At 34.8% G+C, this 22878-nt stretch overlaps 1 long non-coding RNA gene across 3 annotated transcripts in view; it reads right to left on the bottom strand.

Moving 5' to 3' along the window:
* Positions 1–21402: 21402 nt before the first annotated feature.
* LINC01781 (long intergenic non-protein coding RNA 1781) overlaps positions 21403–22878 on the bottom strand; it is a 111034-nt gene continuing 109558 nt past the window's right edge. For all 3 annotated transcript variants that reach the window (NR_125940.1, NR_125941.1, NR_125942.1), the window contains one exon: positions 21403–21628. This is a non-coding gene — a long non-coding RNA (long intergenic non-protein coding RNA 1781). The remainder of the gene's footprint in view (positions 21629–22878) is intronic.

The following is a 22878-nucleotide window of genomic DNA, read 5'->3' as shown; positions in this document are numbered from 1 at the left end:
CCTCTTTCACTTTGATAACCACTAGATAGGGCTAACCTGGAATTTATTTATCATATTAGGTTCCAATGTACCTCCAAAGCACATGCTATTTCCTACTGATTTCCGCTGACTTCCTTTCCAACTTTTCTTTTTCCAGTATCTTTCTGTCTCAGTTCCAATTCCTAGGCATGCCCCAAACATGCGCCTTTGCCTGGCTGTTTCCATCTCTGTTATTTCCATCTTATCTCTATTCCTCCAGAATATCCAAAGTTATATTCTGCATAATATGTCATCCAGAAGATCAGATATACATGCAGGGAACCTACCCTGCTCTTGTTTCTGGCCCTTCAAACCATCAAATTTAGTAATAAACATGAAAATTTCCAAGTTTTCTATTAGGACTCTTATTGCTATGCTTAACATTTCAATATTGCATATAAAGTTTCTGACATTTTAGTTCCATTTATTTCAAAAAGTCTAAATTAATTTTGCTTTACTTTAAACAGATTGGACTAGTCTATCACATCTATAGCCAATGTAGGATTATAGCAGTGTTTAAAATTAGAGACACCATGAGTGTTTGAGGTATGTCAAATCTATAGTACACAGCAATGGGTGTCCAGCTGAGGTTTTTTTAAGTATCAGATTCATACTTTACTGTAATTTTAAAGTTTAGATGGGCTTTCTAAAATACTAAAAATTATTCACGAGAGTGATTAAAAGCTTGAGTAGAAAAGCTATAAGGAAACAGAAAAAGGATAATTTGTAATATATTAGTACCTATTTACACACTTCTTTTCAGTTTTTCTTTTATGTATTTTTTGTATCATAAGGTAATGCTGAATATACAAGCTAGTATCTTGCCTTTAAAAATTTTATTTTTATTCATGTAGTTTTATATCACGGGCACTTCTTTACATTCTACATAGATATTTTATGTAATATTTAGAATTTAGACTCTGGAGGCTACCAACTTAAACTTCATTACTGGCTTTGCTCCTTTTAGGGGCATAACCTTGCACAAACTCAAGTTCTATGAACCTCTGTTCTTACATATATATTCAATGGTAGTAATTATAAGGCTATGATGGCTAATTTTATGTGTCCACTTGAAGGGCATTTTGGATGACATTAACATTCATATCAGTGAACTTTGAGAAATCAAACTGCCCTCCAAGATGTGAATAGGCCTCATCTAATCAGCTGGAGAACTGAAAAGAAACAACAACAACAAAAAAAACAAACAGGCCACCCCAAGCAAGAGGGAATCCCCCCATAGAATATCTTTGGACTGGGTCTGCAATGTTGGCTCTCCTGTGTCTTCAGCCTACTGGCTCTCACTGCAGATTTTAGAGTTGTCAGCCTTCATAATTGTGAAAGTTAATTGTTTATAGTCAATCTCCATGTGTGTGTGCGTGCGTGTGTGTGTATGTGTGTGTATATGTGTATCTTAATGATTCGGTTTCTCTGGAGAACCCTGAATAATACAAGTGCCTACTTCTCTGAATTGTAAAAATTAAATGAAATAATAAATGTAAAGTACTCAGTTCTTACATAATTAATGCTATATAAGGATAAGCTAGTCTTCCTTATAATGCTTTTCATAATATTTAAAAGGCTATATGTTTTTATATTATAAATCATGCTGCAATGAACATCTGAAGGCATCTTTTTTTATTTTTCTAAATTTCTTGTTGTTTCCATAAGAAAAGATTCATAGATGTGGAATTATTGAGTCAACAGAAGCAGCTATTTAAATTCTTCTGCAACAGTTTGACAAATTAATTTCTAGAGAAGTCACCACATTATTTTCAAGCCATATATGAAGGGGCCACACTCATGTCACATGCTGTCATTTTGAAGTGATGCTCTTTCCTGTTTCTGTATTGACATAAATTGTGCTTCTCAGATTTAGAGAGGGTTTTCAGGAAATGACTATGTGTTACTGTATCATATACAGCATACATTGTGCTGGTCCTGCATCTGGAAATCCTCTGGTAAACTTGTGTTGCTTTCCATATTACAAATAAAAAGCTCTTATTACTATGCATGGTTACTCACATGAATAAATAAAGCATATTTCCACATCAGAAATACTTGGAGGTATGCTGGCCAATAGTTCTGTCCCATATACCCATTTTACAATTACATAGGTAACCTGAACAGTTCATCATACTTGCCAGACTTCTGCTTCTCATTGAAGATGCATCTTCCTCATAAAATATTAGTTGAGTTTACTAAACACTTTGCTCAGGATTTTCTTATTGCTTGCTCTCTCTCTCTCTCTGTGCGTGTGTGTGTGTGTGTTAACATGTTTTGTGGTAGATCAGTTCCCTGTGATCTAACCTCCAGCTTCTTCTGAAAAGTAAGCTACTCAAATACTCAAAGGCAGACATGAGATCACATTTATTTTACATTAAAACATGATGAAAATTGAAAATATACAGGTGTTTACAAGTAAGTATGGACTAAAATTGTCAATACTTTCTACATTCTCAGCAGGCACTGAAACATGCTGATGGGTGAATTGATTGTTTCAAGGATTATCTTATGAATTGGCAGGCATTTGAAACCAAAGAAAGATTAAGGCCTCTAAAGTAATGTCCTGACCGCAGGAAAGAATGGCTAAAGAGATCTTTTTCTTAATTTACTACTGATTTTATCTTCCGTGATTTTAGAGACCATTACTTCTCTGAGCATTAAAACAAAGCAATAGAAAAAGCCAAAAAAAAATAGCAAGAAGTATAGACAAGCAGATTTGAGAATTCTAAACATTAACTTGATGCTCATTTCTTTAGCTTTAGCTTGTAAAGTATCTTTCTAGACATAAGTTGCAGGTAATGGAGCTCCATATTCCCCAAAGTTTTTGTTGCTTTCTGGAAACCTTTATGAAGAAACCCATGTTTTGATGTGGCCTTATAGTCATAAGCTAGATGATTTTGGCTTTAGAAATTTTTAATGTTCAGCAGAATTTTTTTAACAGATTACAAAACAAAAATTCCAAAGGATAATTCATTCTTTGAAATGACAACTAAGTTAACTTAGAAAAAAATGGAGAAAGTTGCTATAGGGGATGCTTCTGCATAACTGTTGCTATACAATGAGTGGAGCCAGGACGAGGCAATAAAATGCCGCAGGATGCAGGTAATGGAAGAATGGGAGTTGGCTGTGTGTATCTTGAAACTTATTCATGTCAAAGAATATTATATTTATTGGTCCACCTCCCTTTATGCCAAGAACAGTACCAGGTTTTCTGACTTCTTAGTAAATTTTAATTAAATCACAGTAAGAGGAAACAAATTTAACTGAGTGAAAGAATCTTTGTAGTTTCTTCTACTGTATTGTTTATAAGGTACATCATTATCTCAGTTAAGAAACATGTCTCTGTGAACCATAATGTAGTAACTAACAATATTTTAGTGTTTTCTAGGTGTCACGCACAATATTCAGCATTTTATGTAGATTATTTTTTAATCATCTCTCTGTCAACAATCCTATGAAGTAAGCTGTTATGATATAGATGAGAAAATTGTGGTTAACTTGCACATAGCAGAAGTGGGTTGCAAAAATATGCAATAAAAGCTAGCAAAAGTTATTTTAAATTATCCTATGAAAATATGTGTTTAGGATACAAGTCCACTTTCAGCGTTAAGAAACCTTCCTTCTTTCTCTGTATTTCTTCACAGAACCCTGTTTTTAGGTAAAATTTTCTCCATCTTCACTTGCAGGTGGTCACTTGATCTGTCCAAATTAGAAAAGAATGGTACCTATGTGGTCTCTAGACTTTCTAGATTGATAGTACTGTTGATGTTTCAATAACTATTTCATGTACCCTGAGGCCAGAATAGATATTTGTTTCATTTATTAAGTAATTAAGTTCAAAAAATTTAATAAGCATTTGAAAAAATGCACAGAAATTAAAAGAAAAAATGTTATTTTATTTTAGATAAATACAATTCCATACAGATGGGATGCCTATGTCTACTGAGTACTGCACACTCAAACAGCATAATTTGATCAAATACCACCATCTTAATTTCCTGTGACACATTGTTTTTTGCATGAGACTTGTTTTTTTATCACAGGAATTGCCAAAATCCTAGCTTTGCAAATATATGACACCACTACAAATAATGTAACAATCTAATGATGAAATTTTGAACTACCTCTAACTAGCAATTTGGATGGTATTTGACAGAGATTGAGTAGAAGAATATTTCAAAATTTAAAAATTTCTTACAGTGGTTCTGTGAGTTTCTTGTAGCACCCAAGGCACCTAACAGAGAGTTTGGAAACCATGGGGCTATACATTTTGTGCTGGCCTACAAAGCATATTATTTATATGGGAACCTTTTTCCGTATTGGCAGAGAATATTCAGCAATTGATGTTTTTATATATAGATATTTCCAATTATGGCTGAGAGAAAAAAAGTCATTAAATCTTTATCACAAATTTCTAACTCTCAGTTGTTTTCTTTGAAATTAAGAGAAAAAAGCAGGCAATAAATACCTGTATAGGTTATTATAAGTTCTCAGTTAAGTAGTAGATCCACTCTTATTTCTTCCATCTGACATTAATAGCCATAAAAGCAAGGGCAATCACTTTGCCTGTCTAGCATTAAGTTTCCTCATGAATGAAATGAGGGGATTGAGCTATGTTGCCTCTGAGAAAAGTTCCAGCTCTAAAAGTCTATGTTTTCAGGACACTAAGTAGATAGATTTCTTTGACTTTGTTCCTCTAACACAAAGTACTTTGCTAATATTCTGTACATACTGGTATTTACTACATATTGCCATTTAATTAAAAGTACACCCACGACACTGATTCGTATTATCATATTTTACTTTTTGATAACACTTGTTAACTGTTTTCCTTTCTTTGCAATTTCTTTTGATTGGAATTATATCACAGGTAGCAGTTGTAGGTGTGTGTGTGTGCGTGTTTATCTATTGAACTGCTACATACACACAAAAAACTATCAAAATCTTCAATGATGGAAAAGTCAACAGTTTGGAACTATGATTTTTCTTTTCACAGTAAGTTATGTAGATCAAATTTCTTTTTGAATAAAAATTTCAATGCTTATTGTTAACTCATATGTGAGTATACCATCAGACAATTTTGTCTTCAAAATTTTGGTGGTTGTTTGTATTTTCTTTGGAATGTTTATGAAGGAGCAACTGAGAAACAGAATCTCAGTCTATTTTATCAAGAAACAAAGAGGAAGAGACAAAAGAGCAGATATATCTTAGGAAAGAGAAAAAAAGATGGGTATCTCTGAAGAGGATGGGTTGTAACAAGATTTACTTTCTAGCATAACCAAATTGGAAGAAGTGATTTAAATGTATACGGCAATGTGAGTTTTTACTACCACTTCAAAAATCCTATCAATTTTGTAAGCTTGCTGAAATCCATTGACTCATTCAGAATGAGGAACATGTTTAGGAGAAAAAATTGCCCATAAAAATTTTTAAATAAAACTTTTTGATATTTCATACTTTGAGTTTTCCAAACCTCATCAAGTATTAAGTAAAAAGAGGTTTATAATAACAGGAATAACTAAATTTTTTCTGACTTCCTCCCAAATCTCAACCAATATAGAGTAGGAGTCCCCAGGAGCATCTCAATGAGCTAAAAAAAATACTTTGTTCATACTTATCAACTTCTCTTCATTAATTTTTACCATTTTATTAGCTACATAGATGTCATTCCTAACTGTTGCAAAAATTGCTGGTGCAGTATGAGGCCCACTGTGACAAACAGCAATGGTGGGGATTGGCATTATTTAATACCACCTCGAATTCCTAAATATGGCTCTGAAATCTGCATCTATAATCTTGGCTTCTATTTTAACTTCTAGACTTTAACAATCTGCAGGGCATCTCCAGCTAGATCTTATAAACCATACAAATTTCTAGTGCAACAAATCAGAAGAGAACTCTATAAATTTCCAGTCACACCCACATGGCCCTGCCCCTCATGGCCCTGCCCCTGTTGAAGCCACCAGCATCTTCATGCCTTCAGGGATTCAAAAGCCATTTTCAAGTCCAAATATTTAATCAACTTTCACATTTAATAGGAAGCCAAGCCCTGTTCATTTTTGTTCCATGGTATTTATAAAGTCTATCTGCTAGTCTTCATTCCCACATTATTGCCTTAGGTTATATCCTTTCCTATTGTGATAACGTCCTAATTAGCCTCCTCATACTCCTCTCGTTTTCACATTTAATTTAATCTATATGGTAGCTCCATAATTTCCTTTCTTCAACTGAGCTTTGTAATTTTTGTTGCCTACAAAATAAACCAAAAAAAAAACCCACCCCCACAAAACAAAATGTAAACTCCCATTGCATTTAGGTCTCAATGCAACCTGATCTCCAGCCTATTTTTCTAGATTTATTCCCCTAGATCTCCCATTCACACTCACACTTTGGGTTTTCCAGTAATGGAAAAACTCACTCTTCATCTGTATTCATCTGACAGTCACTTAGCCCAACCACAGAATTCCAATACCTCAGCCTGAAATGCTGAGGAACCATTCCTGTACCACCTAAATTCTTTATTAAAATTCTGCTCAGTTTACTCTAATTAGGGCCCAAAGAGTATGGAACCTTATCCAACAACAAATAGAATTACTTGCAATGTTCCTATAGCATGTAATTTTTAATTCTATTATATTGCAGTCTGATTTGCATCATAGTGACTATCTCTCTTCCTATGAGTGTGAGTTCCTTCAACAAAGGCATCACATCATCTTCATCTTTGTACTAATATTTCAATTTCGTGGGGGCAGATTCAGAATGAATAATTGTTATGATGAAGTTAATTAAATTATAGATTGACCAAATAGAATTATTGTAAGATTGAGTGAGTGGATCAAGCTCAGAGAGGACAAATATTCCCCCCAGACCTTTTGATCACAGTGCCTCTGATATTAGCAGGAAAGCTGTTCCCACGACTATAAGAAGCCACTGAATCAGGAAGGGGCAGAACACAGAGCCCCACTGTCTTTGCCCCAATGGGGAATTCTTCCCACATCATGGCAGAGAGTCATCTAGTTAGGATCCTTGATGCTTCTGCTACAAACTTTATCATCAGAAATGATTGCATTAGGTTCTTCTTCTCTTGCCATAACTCAGTTTCAAATCTAAAACTTACAAAATGTGTTTGGCAGACACTAAATTACAACAGAACTCCCGAGATGAGAAGATTGGGAAATACAGTTTGGATTATCTAGCCTTTTCAGTACAGGATAGCACACCAAAAAGTGATTGGAATGGAGGTTGTGTGGGAGCCAAGGCACAGTACCTACAAAACTTCTGCTGGAAATATTTGTCATCCGTACATACCCTTCATCCCAAATTTAAGCTTCCAAACAGGAGCATTTGGAAACACAATATGATGCCAGCTAACATGATGCAATATCTCTCTATAAATTAAAATGAGTTCTAGCAAGCACTGATTTCATCTCTGTGTGATCATTTCTCCTCTAATTCTGTCACAACCCTGAACCAAGGATAAAATTATAAAGTTAACCACCACCCACACTGAATATAAAATTATAGGAGAAAGGAAGAGATGAAGGAAAAAAGTAAAGTTAGCTAATAAAAATATACACATAACAGAACAAGGAACAATATGTTAGCCACTGAAGACCTCATTTGTACAGCTGGTAGTGATATCATAGTTGGTATTTATAATTTTGGTCCTGCTCCTTCAAGTCCGTTTTCTACTTGCTTCTCATCCAGTGCCTAACAGGAGTTTGGATGGGTAATTCAAACATTCACATCTGAATGGTCTGAGTTCTTAGAAGACTTCCTTATATTGAAATGCTACAGTTTTGCCATTATTATTATTATTTGCAATGGATATGACAGTTCTATCAGGCACACAAAAGAATGCACTGGTTTCCAAATATTTCCTGTGTCCCTAATGCACAATGGTCACCTTATTTCCCCTGATTAATGAGGATCAATCACACTCACCCACCTTGTAACATTCTGTGTAAATACTGAATAAATATCATGAGAAACCTGGAATGGCCAGGTGGCAAGCTCAAGTCTGACTCCAATTGAGCTATCGTTGTGTTCCCTGATGGAAGAATTTCTTCCTTGAGTACTAAGATCTCCAAGCCAGGAGAGGTCAAGATCACAGGAATTGAAAGCAGCATTTTGTAAATGGGTCATAAAGTGAAACAGTGAGAGGTGACCCTCCTACCCCCATTCTTACCTCCCAGACTCATGTATTTCAGCTGTGACAAAAACAAACAAACAAAAAACACCATTATGCTTGTTGGTTAAGAAGATAATCCATATGTACACATCAACAAATCATATGAAATTATTTTCTAGTTGGTAACATTACTGAGCAGTACATATAGTCTTCCACTCTCTTAAAAGGCTCTCTGACTCTGGATGATGGAGTACATGATATGACTCTTTAGTGCTGTGGCAATTATCCCCTTGCTCTGCTTTTTTTGCTGTAAAGCAAAATTCTTGGTCAGAAGGAATCATATGCGGATATTTTAGAGTGAAGAATGAATGCAGTAAACTTAGGAATGTTGTTTGTAGAATCACTGTGGGCAAAGAAGACAAATCTGCATTCAGAATAAGTGTGTATTTCACTATGGGCAAATTGTTACTTATTCTATTATCAAAAAAAGAAAAATACACGTAAGCGACATTTTACCGGGAGGTAGGTGTTTTCTCCAAGTTATGGTGTTATATTAGAGGTTCAACATTCGTTTCTCTGCTAGTAAACAGGGTACTTAGGCCATGAAATGTAACATTTATTCCAGATGTCCATGTGGCTAGCTAAAAATCAGGAATTCTATTACTAAGAAAGGGAGAAACAGATGTCAGGAAGAAATTCATAGGCTCTGCCAAAACACCGAATCCACTGATGCAGATGTGAGTCTTGTCTCAGTTTAAATTCAGGTTATTTTTAAATTGTTATTTACTATAGTTTAAAAATAACCTGCATTTAAACTGAGGCTAGACATAACATTGATAAAGCATTACAAATTAAATTTTAAATAACTTTATTGAGAAATGGTACTAGGTCATTTCAAACGTTATCTCATATTTTTATAATAATTCAAAGAACCTATTTTAATATAAGCATTTAAAATATTTGCTTTAATATAGGCCTTTAAAAGACTAAGATATTTTAAGGATGTTGCCTGAGATCAGAGGGTCAGAACGAGAAGATAAGCCCAACACTTTTCAAACTCTACAGCCGTTTCTTAGGCTGAGATACTGCTTGACTTGTTATGTGATTGGATAGAGTAGGTAAAATTTTGTAAAAGTTTGCAATGTACTCAGTACTGTGGTGCCAGGCACTGTGTTAGCATATCATGTATTTTCTCATTTAGTCATATTGACCAAATGAAACAGATATTGAAATTAAATAATTTAAAAATTTAACTTTACCCAAGATCATATAGCTAATATGCGGGACTCATCCCAAGGCCATAGGATATCAGAGTATGTATTGCTAAATACACACAACTCTGCTTTCAGAGGTGAGATTAGATGGCACCAGTAACAGCTGAAATACTGGAATAACTTAAGAGTTAGGAGAATGTAAATCTGAACTATTATCATAAAGAAATACCTATTTCTCATGAATAATTGGATGAATAGTATAAAAATAGTCTAAACAAAAATTCAATGTAATTTATATGCTGCAGAAGTATTGAAGCATGAATTTCAATAAATTCTTTTAAAACAGAATTATAGTGAAAGTGAGCACTAGACATCATGTGTATCGTCACCCTAAAGAGGAAAGTCATTCACTTTTATATAAATATATCTTTATAAATTATTCCTTTTAATAGCCAATTTGTGACCTAGATTTGTACTTGGCAAATAATTGAGAATTGGCATTTAAATCAGACATTTGTGTTTAGAATTACAATTTTAAAAAATAATTCAACATCATTTCTGTGGAATAAAAGTCTAAATAAATATTCTAACTTATTTTGGGGGTTTTTAAAAGGTTAAGGAAATCTTATTGTACTCTAAATGTAGAATAGACTCATGTACAACACAGATCAGAGCAAACATTTTATCAAAAAAAAAGTCAGTGAAGCAGCCCTCTAAGAATATTAAAATGCTTAGTTTCCATGGAATGTGTTTGACAGTAAGATTTTTAAAAGATCTAAGAGGCTGACCTTTCTCCTCCACAAACTAAGTAGACTTTTTAAAATGAGCACATCTGGTTTATGTTCCTAAACCTCTGGCCTTTAAAAGCTTTGTTCCCAATTCACACAAAATACCATTCAGGATTGCTTGACACAGTGACCCTTCCCTGTAGGTGGTTAGGTGAATAAAGTGATTAAGTAGATTCAGGAATTTAGCATATACGTAGCAAGTTAACATTTGCATCCTGAAGTGATTAGTAAACAGTACTGTTCATTGGGGTATTTTAAGCAATTTTACTTTTTGAAGTTCTAATTATAAAATATTACTGTTTTTCAAAAACCAGATTTATCTTTCTTGTAAACAATTATACTGGTGCTATTATCTGGTAATGTAGAATAAAGCACATGCTGTTATAAACTAAAGGTATTTTGTTTTATTTCAAAGCTCCAACGCTGTTACTAGAAAAAAAAAATACTGAAAGGGTGGTCAGGTTGGATCCATAAATCTAGATGGCCGTTGAACATTTAACCAATTCTTTGGTACTCAATTGAGTTAAACATTAAATGGTGCATTGGCAAGGAAGATTTTATTTCTATGAGGCCCACTAATAAAATACTCTGAGTTATTTGTGTAGAATGTAATTCCTTATGACTTTGCCTTCCATTTGCCTCGAGGATATACCAGTTTAAAACTGTTCAGCACACTACACCATGCATAACAGGTAATCTGCCTAATTAAATCCTATAAGGATGTTCTCAGTAAAATGCTGAAGAGCTCCCATAACCTCTGCTTCACCCTCCCCATGCACCAGAGCTTCTGAGATTGAGAAACCCCAGCCATTAACTGAACTGTTTACACTTGAAGCTCAAAGTCTACTTTGCTAGAATGGCTCATTTCACATTTTACAAATCTGTTTTCTCATTTATAAGCAGAAAGTAATTTGTCAATTTTTTAATATTATAATTCTCAACTTGTTCTGAGAGAAAAGGATCTAACATACAACTGCAATTCATATTGCAAAAATCATACTGTGACTGGAACTGCTATATTCAGAGATCTAATAAGATTTACATCTATATTTTGAGTGCATTCATTTGGTATGTTTCAATGAATTATTAATTATGACCAACAATAAAATATTATTTTGCTCAGATGCACAGCAATAGGAAAGATGCCCAAGAGAAATTTATCTGACAGCTCAAAACAAAATGGCCAAAATTCACTCATAGGTTACTCATCCAACGCAGCATGACTCATATTTGCCCATCAAAAGCACTCCGTGTGTGTTTTTCTCAGCTTGTCAATGTTTTGTCAAGAGAATAAAAGACAAACTTTAGCCTTCAGATTAAAAAAAACGTAAATTTAATGATTAAAAATAAAATATGATAGATGAATAATTTTTTGGAAAGCTCTTCAATTATACTAGAAATTGATAACAATGATTTTTATTCAATTAGCATCAATATGGCCAGAACCATCACCCCATATAACCAAACTACATATTATATATTTTATTGACCTATTTCTGTTGACACAAAAATACTACCTCTTTTCATATTCCCTTCTAATCATCCTTTCTATTCTACTCAGTAAAATCCTAAGAGAGAAACCTCATGCAAATTACTGACTCATGCTTTTTCTTTTATTGTACACATTGGACTGAGTGCCAAATCAGTCCTACATATTTACTCAATCTACATCTTTCAAGTTTGCTCCTTCTTTTTTAATCCTTAGGCTGTTTCAGGCTGGGCTTTTGGCAGTATCTTTTTTCTCAACTGTACAAACAGCACACGAATAAACCCTCCAGTCTGTTGCCTGGCAGGTGTTCTAGGGATATTTCAGAGATGGCCACTAGGGCACTGGCTAGTTCCTGGTAAGCTTCTTCAAACCACTTCAGCTGAGTTGCCAGCATCTAGCTGCTAGTCACTAGTTTCTCAATCCCAGAAAGAAGTTAATCATAAATCCCAAGAGATAATGAACTCTGTGAAGGGCAGATGCTAGCTAAACATATATATACCTGATTTTAGATCCAAATAATTGGAGACAGATTAGCGTGTTTGCTAGGAACACTAACATTCTAGTACAAAAGAGCTGGGTTTAATTTCCTGCTATGCAAGGATCTCAGAGAAGTTGCTTAATTTTGTGTCTCAGTTTCTTCATCTGAAATAATGATACCATTAGGTTTTATATAGAAGACTGAGAAAATGTTTGTACAATGTTCTCAATGCTAACAAAAATCAACTCTCAAAAGTTATAATTAGATCAACTCTCAAAAGTCAGAAATCAACCTTTCATATCAATATAGTTATGTCATTACTTAGACTATATCTGCTATTATTCTGTATTTAAATTTTCACAAATCACTCGTGATCTTCAACCTGTACTTCAAAACAGGTATACTGGATTTTCCACTTCTCTCCAACTGCTACATTTAATTTTGCTTGTCTCTCTCTTTTCAATCACCTTTTATAAGAGCCTTTGAACAGAAGTCACAGACTGCTAATTATGAGATTCTTTTAATCTTTAGATTTTTTCAAGAGAAGGTAAAAACCCAGAGTTTTGTGTGACAACTCATATAAAAATTGACAAATAATGCAAAAAAAAAAAAAAAAAGATTAAGTTTGGTATTATTGGCCCACATTAGCTCATGGCAAAACTCAATTTATTCCCTTTATTAGCAGGTTACCCATCATAACTCAAATTGCATACCACATCTCTGTTATCTATGTACCTCTTAGAGGCATTTAACTTTGTGTTGTTTGCTTCAGAACCTTGTCCTAAGGCTAAATTATGTGTCTAAAATGCCTGTATATTAGGTTTCTTTTCCTGTTTTTCTGCTTACTTTGAAAATATATATTGGCATAGCTTATCATAGTCCCGTTTAGCCATGAAACATTCACAAATATCCTGTCTTAATTCCCTATTAAGGATTTTTGTTTTAACCTCAATATGTAATATATGCATATTCATGGATTCTAAAATTCAACATAAATCAACAGACTTGCTCTGATAGTGAATGATCTATGCAATAAGAACTGCAATTCATATTGCAAAAATCACACTGTGACTGGGTCTGGGTCTGCTATATTCAGAGATCTAATTAAACCTACAAGCGTATTTTGTATGCGTTCATTTGGTATATTTCAATGAATTATTAATTTTGACCAACAGTGAAACATTATTTTGTTCAGAAGTACAATAGGAAAAACACAATATGAAAGGTAATACAATTTATAGAAATATAAAACAACACAAGCCCTAATAATAATGAGGAGACGGGCAAGTTTAAAATAAAATTTGAATACAAGGCTAAATATACTGAGATAAAATAGTAATGGGAACAAGAACACTGGAAGCACAGAGGAAAAAACTCATGAGAAAAACCTGGGAAGGCACCTGGAGACAGTGACATTTGAGCCAGGCCTTGAAAAGTGGTGTTAATTTGGAGAAGACAATACAGAAGGGGAATGGGAACAGCTGGTGATGTGGTTTGGCTGTGCCCTCACCCAAATCTCATCTTGAATTGTAGCTCCCATAATCCCCACGTTTGGTGGGAGGGGCCCAATAGGAGGTAATTGAATCATGGAGGCGTGTTTTTCCCTTGCTGTTATCCTGATAGTAAATAAATCTCATGAGGTTTGATGGTTTTATAAAGGGCAGTTCCCCTGCACACGCTCTCTTGCCTGCTGCCATGTAACACATGCCTTTGTTTGCCTTCGCCTTCCACCATGATTGTGAGGCCTCCCCAGCCATGTGGAACTGTGAGTCCATTAAACCTCTTTTTCTTTATAAATTACCCAGCCTCAGATATATCTTTATTAGCAGCATGAGAACAGACTAATACAGCTGGATACATGTGGAGAAAGGCACACGTGCAAGATATACTTGAAAGTTAGGAGAATCAGATGTTGACGAGGAGGTAGGTGGAGGATAGTAGAAGATAACTGTGTTAAGAAGATGGCCAGTAGAGGTTGGGCACGGTGGCTCACTCCTGTAATCCCAGCACTTTGGGAGGCAGAGGTGGGTGGATCACGAGGTCAGGAGATCCTAGCTAACATGGTGAAACCCCGTCTCTACTAAAAAGTACAAAAACTTAGCGGGGCGTGGTGGCGGGCGCCTGTAGTCCCAGCGACTAGGGAGGCTGAGGCAGGAGAATGGCATGAACCTGGGAGGGGGAGCTTGCAGTGAGCCGAGATCGCGCCACTGCACTCCAGCCTGGGAGACACCGCGAGACTCCATCTCAAAAAAAAAAGAAGATGGCCACTAGAAATACCATGTGGTCCGGGCGCGGTGGCTCACGCCTGTAATCCCAGCACTTTGGGAGGCCGAGGCGGGCGGATCACGAGGTCAGGAGATCGAGACCATCCCGGCTAAAATGGTGAAACCCCGTCTCTACTAAAAATACAAAAAATTAGCCGGGCGTAGTGGCGGGCGCCTGTAGTCCAAGCTACTTGGGAGGCTGAGGCAGGAGAATGGCGTGAACCCGGGAGGCGGAGCTTGCAGTGAGCCAAGATCACACCACTGCACTCCAGCCTGGGCGACAGAGCGAGACTCCGTCTCAAAAAAAAAAAAGAAATACCATGTGCTTGACTGCTTGGCCAAAGTTAAAGAACTTCATTTTGAAGGCAATTAGGAAATCACCGCAGGTTTCTGAACAAAATAGCCAAGAGACTAGAGTTTTATTACAGAGTGGTACAGTAAAATTCCACAGGCATAAGGTAACAATGAACAGGATGAAGGTACTTGAACCCTTTCCAGTACAAATGTCAACTGATTTAGAAACAAATATATATCAGCCAGCATTGAAAAGATGACAAGATAGGCATTCTTCACCAGCTGTGAGAAATATAAAAAAGCAAAAATGTTGGAGTGTCAGGACCTAGCATAATAATTGAATGTTGTTTTCCCGTTATGTCACATAATTTGAAAAATTTGTAATGAGAATCCATTCTCCTCAATGTTTGTTAATGAATATAAGTGTGCCAAGGTACAGTACCAGATTAAACATTAGCCTTTCTGTGCACTACAAAAATGGCCACGGCCGTTCAACAACCTTTCCAAATCTGATCATTTGTCTTCTATTTTTAATTGTGAATATCTGACTTTTAATTCATACTGTTTACAAAACTTTTTAAATGTTGCGATAATAATATGCATCTCTCTTTATAATGTTAAAACCATTTCTTTTTTCAAGTTCACAGAAAATATTATTATTCATATAGTTTATCTCTTTGACATTAACATTTGCAGGATCAACATAACTAATAAATGTTCCATCAAAAATAAACAGACTTTCTTACTTTCAAGAATACTATAAGAGGTGTTTTCCAACTTGCTGTGTACAATTAATACTAGCCAAAGGGTTTGAAGCTTTTCTTATTACAAGTAAAAAAGACTAAAGAGAAAACTAGGGAAGTGAGATATTCTAAAAATGGGTCATATGTGTAGCTCCGAATGTCTACCTTTGACATAGATGAGTTTTTTAAAAAATTATATCAGAACGTAAAATAACTTTTATTCTTGTTTTTTAATTACTTGAAAACTAATTACATGTTCTTGATATCTTCGTTTAATATCATGCTCATAATCCATATGCTAGTTCTGCTTTACATTTGAGCTCATTTTATAATAAATCCTCATGACTGGGATCTTAAAGACACACATCTTATATCAAAATTTAATGAAAGAATGTATTATGATTTTTCTACAGTTCAAAATTTTAAGATATTTGGTCCTGTTTATCCTTACTTTCCACCATTGACCAGCCATGGTTAACATAAACCTCATCCACAAGAAAATCTGTGGCATAGTTAAAGCTGTTAGAATTATGGGGAGAGTAGGCTCATCTAAATTAACTATAAATCAGAATATATCAGTCATCAATATCACCTATTCATTGTTCAGCTGCTCTGCATCTTTAAAAGGTGTGTTTTCTTTTGCCTTATGCTATGTAAGTACTCCATAAACATATATTTTCCTAGGCATAATTAAATGAAATATTTTCTATGTGGACAGATAGTCATCACTCTTTATCAAGACATGTGGACACCTCATGGTCATCTAAGTTGCTTTGGTTTCTAGTACTTGCCTCTTGCCTTGCTTCTTCATCTTGGCACATACGACATTTTTGTTCAGTTGTCTGTTTTTAGCTATAGGCACTACCTTTGGTTTATACGTCTGTAGCAAGAGACACAGTCATTCTGTAACATACATAACCTAATATTACAGTGTTTAATATTACAAACATTTGGACCCTGATCTCCACTAGAATATTCAGGAGAGAGAAAAAGTCATAACCTATCTTGCTTATTGCTGTGTCTTCAGCATTTTAGCTGGCTTTCATTGACACCACCCCAGTAGAAGCAGTGGGTATATTCCCTCATTTCTTCCCTGTATGTGTGAAAGTCTAGGTTCCTCAGTCAGCCTCCAGTAATACTTCAAACCTTTATATAACACCACACTGGAGAGGGTACTGGGGTACCTCATTATAGCCTGAAGAGTATCAAAATCTCAGCTCACCACTCAGCCTTTGCTGTCATGGGTGATGAGGGAGCCATATTTTTTTCTGTGGTATTTGACTGAAGTAGAGTGGTCTAAAAGTTATGTCATTCTGGGTTGCCCAGTTCCTAGTTATTTGGTTAGATAGAGAAAGAACATACTTTTGATGGTGATGGTGAGTTTTTTGTTTGTTTATTAAGTGTGCACTTTTTTGTTTGTTTTTTCTTTTTGCTCTGCACGCGTTGGTGTTTCTGGGTTGCCAACTTCTGCTTTAAGCCTAGGATATAGGAAGGAAGAGGAAAACACCAAAATCACCACTCTGCTGTTGCCTTGGTCCCAAAGTCCACAGCCAATCTGCCTTCTTATCTTCACTCTGTAGATCTTTCTTATGTTTGTTTTGTATATATATAATGTCTTGATTTTAAGTTATACTTAGATGGAGGAATAGGAAAAAAGTGTGTCTACTCCATCTTCTATATACTTGGGAGCTAAACAACACACTTCTAAACAATCCATGGGTTAAAGAGGAAATCTCAAGGATAATTTAAAAATATACATTAAGACATGAATAAACCTACCTGAGTAAACTGACAGAGCAATGAATGAGAATTGTTGTCTCAAAGGCATCTGAGGCTGCCAAGAGCTGACTAATGGCTAAACTACATGTGGGACTTCAACTAAGAGGTGTTGTTGCGAATAAGACTATTGAAAGCAGCCTCTGTCAGTCATCGCCAACATGTGCCCACTGATAGAAGTTGGAGCCAACAGAAAATACCATGGAGAATCACAAATTGAAACATAATGGAAGAGAATATAATAATGTGTTTATTAAAGAAAGTTCTAATTGTCTACCATAACCACAATAAGGTAGCTATTATGGATTTTTTTTGGATCGGGTATGCTTTTCACTGAAGAAAAAGAATATACTTTTGGCAGTGCTACAGTCTCAGTGTTAAAGATAACCCTTGGTAGTGTCTAAGGCCCAGTATTTATTCAGTGCACAAATTATACATATTAAAAGTTTAATATACAATTTCTACATACTTTGCACATTGATCAATAATATATAAAATAGACATTATATACCTCCAAAAGTAATTGGATATTAAAATTTAATTTTTTGTTTTATGCATTTTACACTTTTTTTTGTTTTAAAGTTGGTTCATAAATGCTAAGATCACTTTGCAATGATTATTATATAATAAGATTTCTTTCTCAACTGATATGCCTTTAAGCTTTCTTTTCTATAGATTCACATACAGCAAAGGAATCCACTATGCTCCAGGTCCTAGAAATGTCCTGAACTGCTTCTGAGGAAAATGGTCTTGCCTAAAGTCATGAGGATTTGAATAACTTCTCTAGTCGGCTCTTTACATACTTTCTCTACCAAATCACCCTGTCTGCACTCATAGCTGTCTGCACTCATAATCAAGAATAGAGGCTGATTAACAAAAATAGGAAATTTGATGGTTCATGACTTCAAAAACAGCAGGAGATAAGGTTTAATTGCTTGAGAATGTAATATTCTGGCTGATATACTAACAGAAAATTGTCAATATATTAAGCTGCTATTGGATTTCCAGAACCATTGCTGTGTCCTGATGACACTATTTACTATTAAACTTCTTCTATCTGAACAGGCCTAAACTCCAGGGCCTATAGCCAGGGAAGTGCTATGACTATTTGGATCACTGTAATTCCTGGAAATAAGAAAGAAAAGGCGATGCCTATTTTCCCAGTCTATAGTTTCTTTTATGCAACTAAGCAGATATGTAAGGCAAAATGGAATTATAATGACATGAATTATAAACATATTGACTTGTCCAAATCCAGCCATCGAAGCAAGCCATTTGTAGATATCTCCAGAGTTGTCAAATGTATATATTTGAATTTAGATATTTATGTAAAACTCAAACCCATGCCTTTATTTCTACTTTTAACTACATCTAGCTTTTTTTTTAGTGCCTCTCTGTGTGCCTTCTCAGTACCATCTTTGTGTGGCCCACATTGCTCATTATTTCCATATCAAAATTAGGCCTATACATATTATATACGTGGCATCACAATGTAGGAGGTGAAGGAGTGTCCTGGGTCACCTTGTTTGACATGGCTTATATGGTACTTCCTTAATGCTAATTCTAAAGCTAATTGACTTTATTTTCAAATATATGCAAATCATAACATTCTTTTTGTAAAGAAGCAAATTTTTACTTTCAATTATATGTTATGAGAACAACTGAAATTAAAATGAACTATTTTTTTCTCTTGTTATCTTTGTGCTATTGGTTCTGTTTCAGTTTTACACCTGTTTTTCTTCAAAAAGTCATCTACTTATTTCTCTTATTCTATTTGGGTGTTGTATTAGCCCGTATTCATGCTGCTGATAAAGAAATACCTAAGACTGGGAAGAAAAAGAGGTTTAATTGGACTTACAGTTCCAGATGGCTGGGGAGCCCTTGGAATCATGGTGGAAGGTGAAAGGCACTTCTTACATGGTGGCAGCAAGGGAAAAGTGAGAAAGAAGCAAAAGCAGAAACCTCTGATAAACCCATCAGATCTTGTGAGATTTACTCACTATCACGAGAATAGCTTGAGAAAGACAGGCCCCCATGATTCAATTACCCATCCCTAGGTTTCTCTCACAACACATGGGAATTCTGGGAGATACAATTCAAGTTGAGATTTGGGTGGGGACACAGCCAAACCATATTAGATGTTAACATACTAATATATGTTATTATTAATTTTCTGCTCTATCAGTGGGATTAAAGAATTCATACAATATAAGTAAAAGCAATGTCTATGTTATAGAAGGCAAATATGAGACCACTTACTTAGCTCTTCTTTCCAACAAGATATCCCATCACAAGCTCCTGCAATATGGAAATTCTGGTGATCTTTAAAATGGAGTATTAAAACTCCATTACTTAAGTTACCTAAGGAAAGCTTTTGTTTCTTGCACCCCAAAGCTCTTAACCAATGCAATTTTTAATTCCAGAAAGATACACTGTCCTTTCCTGCTAGAATTTTACTATTCTTTTATGAAACCTGTAGACTTGCTGGGAAAGATTCTAGTAGTAAAATTCTTCCTTATATCATTAATAATACCTACATTTTATACATATAAGGTTAATGTTTGCCTTTAAAATTTCTAGTACTTAGCTGATACTAGAAATAATTCATGTTGTTTTTAACATTTTCAAAATAATCATCAAAACATTTCATAAAACCTGTGTCTTCTCAAAATATTGATTCTATAAATATACCTGGATAATACTTTGGGGTATTAACTTATGTTTAATTCTTCTGCTTGTAATATTTTTTTCCCTTCACTCCACTAAGATAGTTGGTTAGCTCTGTGCTTTAGTGCCTCAAAAGAGGTATGTGGTGAATCTGAATGGAGTAGTAATCTATAAAATGTCCTGTAATTTGTCTTCTAATAATTTTAGTATATTACACAGATAGACATCTTTGGTGAAAAAGGAAGGAGAAAGGGTTCCCTCAGGCTCAAAAGACATTCTCTTAGCTGTCAAGAGGAGAGAGTTATATATGCTCTGGAGTGATAGAAGCTGAGGTCCTATTTTCTGACAATGTTCTGGTGAAGGCAGTAAGATCCCAGAAAGATACACTCCAAAAGACATCTCAGGCTGTAGTAACAGAAGCATCAATGATTCCGTCTCATATATTGTCATCATATCCTAAAGGACACTGTATGAAGTCAGCAAGTCTCCCAGACCTGATGAACAGGCACAAATAGGTGAATGGTAGATTTTCATGGCCAAGTTGGTAAACTGCTAACTGATGAACAGAGACTGCGACACATGATCCAATTGTTTTGATGCTGTGTAAGATCCAAGAACCTTGAACATGTTGTCAAGTGGAGGACTGGATAGAAGTTCAAACAATAATTAAGGTTAATTATATTCTTAGGGACACAGACTACACAGCAGAAGACAACTTACTTTAAAAAATCAAGAAAATGCATTTTCCACATATCTTAGTTTGTGAACTGAGATTTTTGTCTGCAAACTTTCATACGTTAGTCACGTTCATACCATAAAACATGACTCTATTTGATATTATACTATTTTAAATTTTCAATTGTTTAATAATATTTTAGGAGGATAGTAGGAGGTGTTTAAAATAGTATTCACATTTTATCTTTTATCCAGGTTCACAGGGAGATCACCACTTTAAAGATGACAAATTTATATCTTATTAAATATAAGAGTATTGTTTTGTTACACAGTATGAGTTGCTGTAATACCTAGGATTTAGACCTAAATCCATTAATTAATTCTATAAAAATGAGATCTTAAGAAATTTACACTTAAAGTGCCTAAGAATTTCAAGGAGAATCTTAGATTCTTTTCTTGATTTCAAAGTGTCAACAGTTGATGGTCTCCTGTATTCCTTTCCTCTCATGAGACCAAATGCTTCAGAGGAGTGACCTTCTAATGTGGTAAATTGAGATCTAACTACTAATTACTAATTGTTATTGCAATTCTTGACCTGATCTCTAGAGCTGGAAAGCAAATCCCTGTCTCTGGAGTGTAACTAGATCTAATAGGCAGCCTCTGAGTTGACGCAGAGAGAGCATATTAGCAATTGAGTGACTTTCAAAGTGTTACCTTAATGAACACCATTGGATGTAATGTTTTGAAGCTCAAACTAAGCGAAGGTACTTTCCTTTTCTCTGACAGTAGTTAAGTATAAAATTTATCTATTCCTTTATTTAGAGTGAAGAAGCACATTAGTGAAAAAAGTATAAGAAAGTTCTCCATTGGTACATTTTTAATAGCTTCAAGCTGTTAACAGTTACATTGGCCCAAGGTATGGGGTGGCACATGTTATGGTTAACTGATTAGTACAGAGCCTCTTGACATACAGACATTTTTCTGTTACTGGTATCAGCCATGAAAATGTATTTCCAAGCAATTAAGCCTTAACTCCTGCTGGTTTGGAAGCCATGGACCTTCAAATTCCCATTCAAATTATTCAACACCTAACATGGGTAGAAAAAAAATACAACTTCATTAGTAAAAGCCACAAAGAAATCTATTGATAAGTTTTTAAAATTTCTTTAACATGAGAAAAATGCAAAAACGTTCAGATTGTAAATTAGCCACACAACTTTAAAATGACCTCACTTTCTTTTTTCACAACTCTAAGGATTTACTTTATGAGGTCTTAGGTTTAACAACATACTTCAAAAATAATGTGGATAGCAAAATAAATATGTGAAAGGTTACATGTAGGGGAGCAGGGAGAAAGGGCAAAGAAAGCAGGATCATAACTATGTGGTTTTCACTTGTTTCCAATTCTTATCTGAAGTAGATATCGACTTGGCAATTCTAAAATTAGAACAACTGGATACTGGACAAGTAGAAATAGTAATTGCCAAGTGATCTCCATTATGTTTCTGAACAATTTCTTCTTCCCTCTCTCACTCTCACAAACGTTTCATAAGCCCTGAGGAGACATTTTTATAGAAGGTCTATTTTCTTATCTCTAAATGGAATAGAGCAGGAGAGTAATATAAGACAGGAATGAAGAGTCATTCTCATCAGAAATAGTTTTGCATAATATTGGGGGATGTTTTGTATGTTTTATTCTAGAGGGTTGGATTATCATTTTCAGTACCTTATGAATCAACTTGTTCCAGTATCTCATAAGCAGAGTTGCCTCTACAAAGGTAGCATTATACTTTCAAAACATTTATGATAATGAGAGCTAGACTTCACACATGTTAGTTAGTGGAAACTGGAGTATGTAACTTTACCAAACTATTTAAAGTGGAAGGCTCTGTTATGGCTCTGTTACTGATTTCCCTTGTATTTTGTTCACACTATACTTCTTAAGAGTAGTTTACTATTTTTGTTCCAAATGTAAACTCAAAAAGTTTCCATTGTTAAAAGAAGTTAAATCTATCATTATAATGCAAAGCTCTACATAGATAGGTGACCTCCCCTCCCCTCCTCTTTTTTTTTTTTTTTTCCTCTGCAGCATATTACTAGGCAATCTAGGGTCATTCTGTTAAATATTCTCTCATCTGGTTTTAACTTCGGATTTTTAATTGTTAGTTTTTTGTTCTAACAAGAATTAGATGTTATGTTTTGAGCTTTTCAGATGGAAGTTATTACATATATGCTATCAAATTAACTTGAGAACTTTGTGGGATTTAATGGGTCAGTCTTTCTAGGGTAAGAAAGGAGAATGAGCCACGTAGAAGATCTGTGATGAAATGAACTACAA

This window comes from Homo sapiens, chromosome 1 (assembly GCF_000001405.40).
Source record: "Homo sapiens chromosome 1, GRCh38.p14 Primary Assembly".
NCBI classification, from domain to species: domain Eukaryota; kingdom Metazoa; phylum Chordata; class Mammalia; order Primates; family Hominidae; genus Homo; species Homo sapiens.
This window is presented reverse-complemented; position numbering and strand designations above follow the sequence as displayed.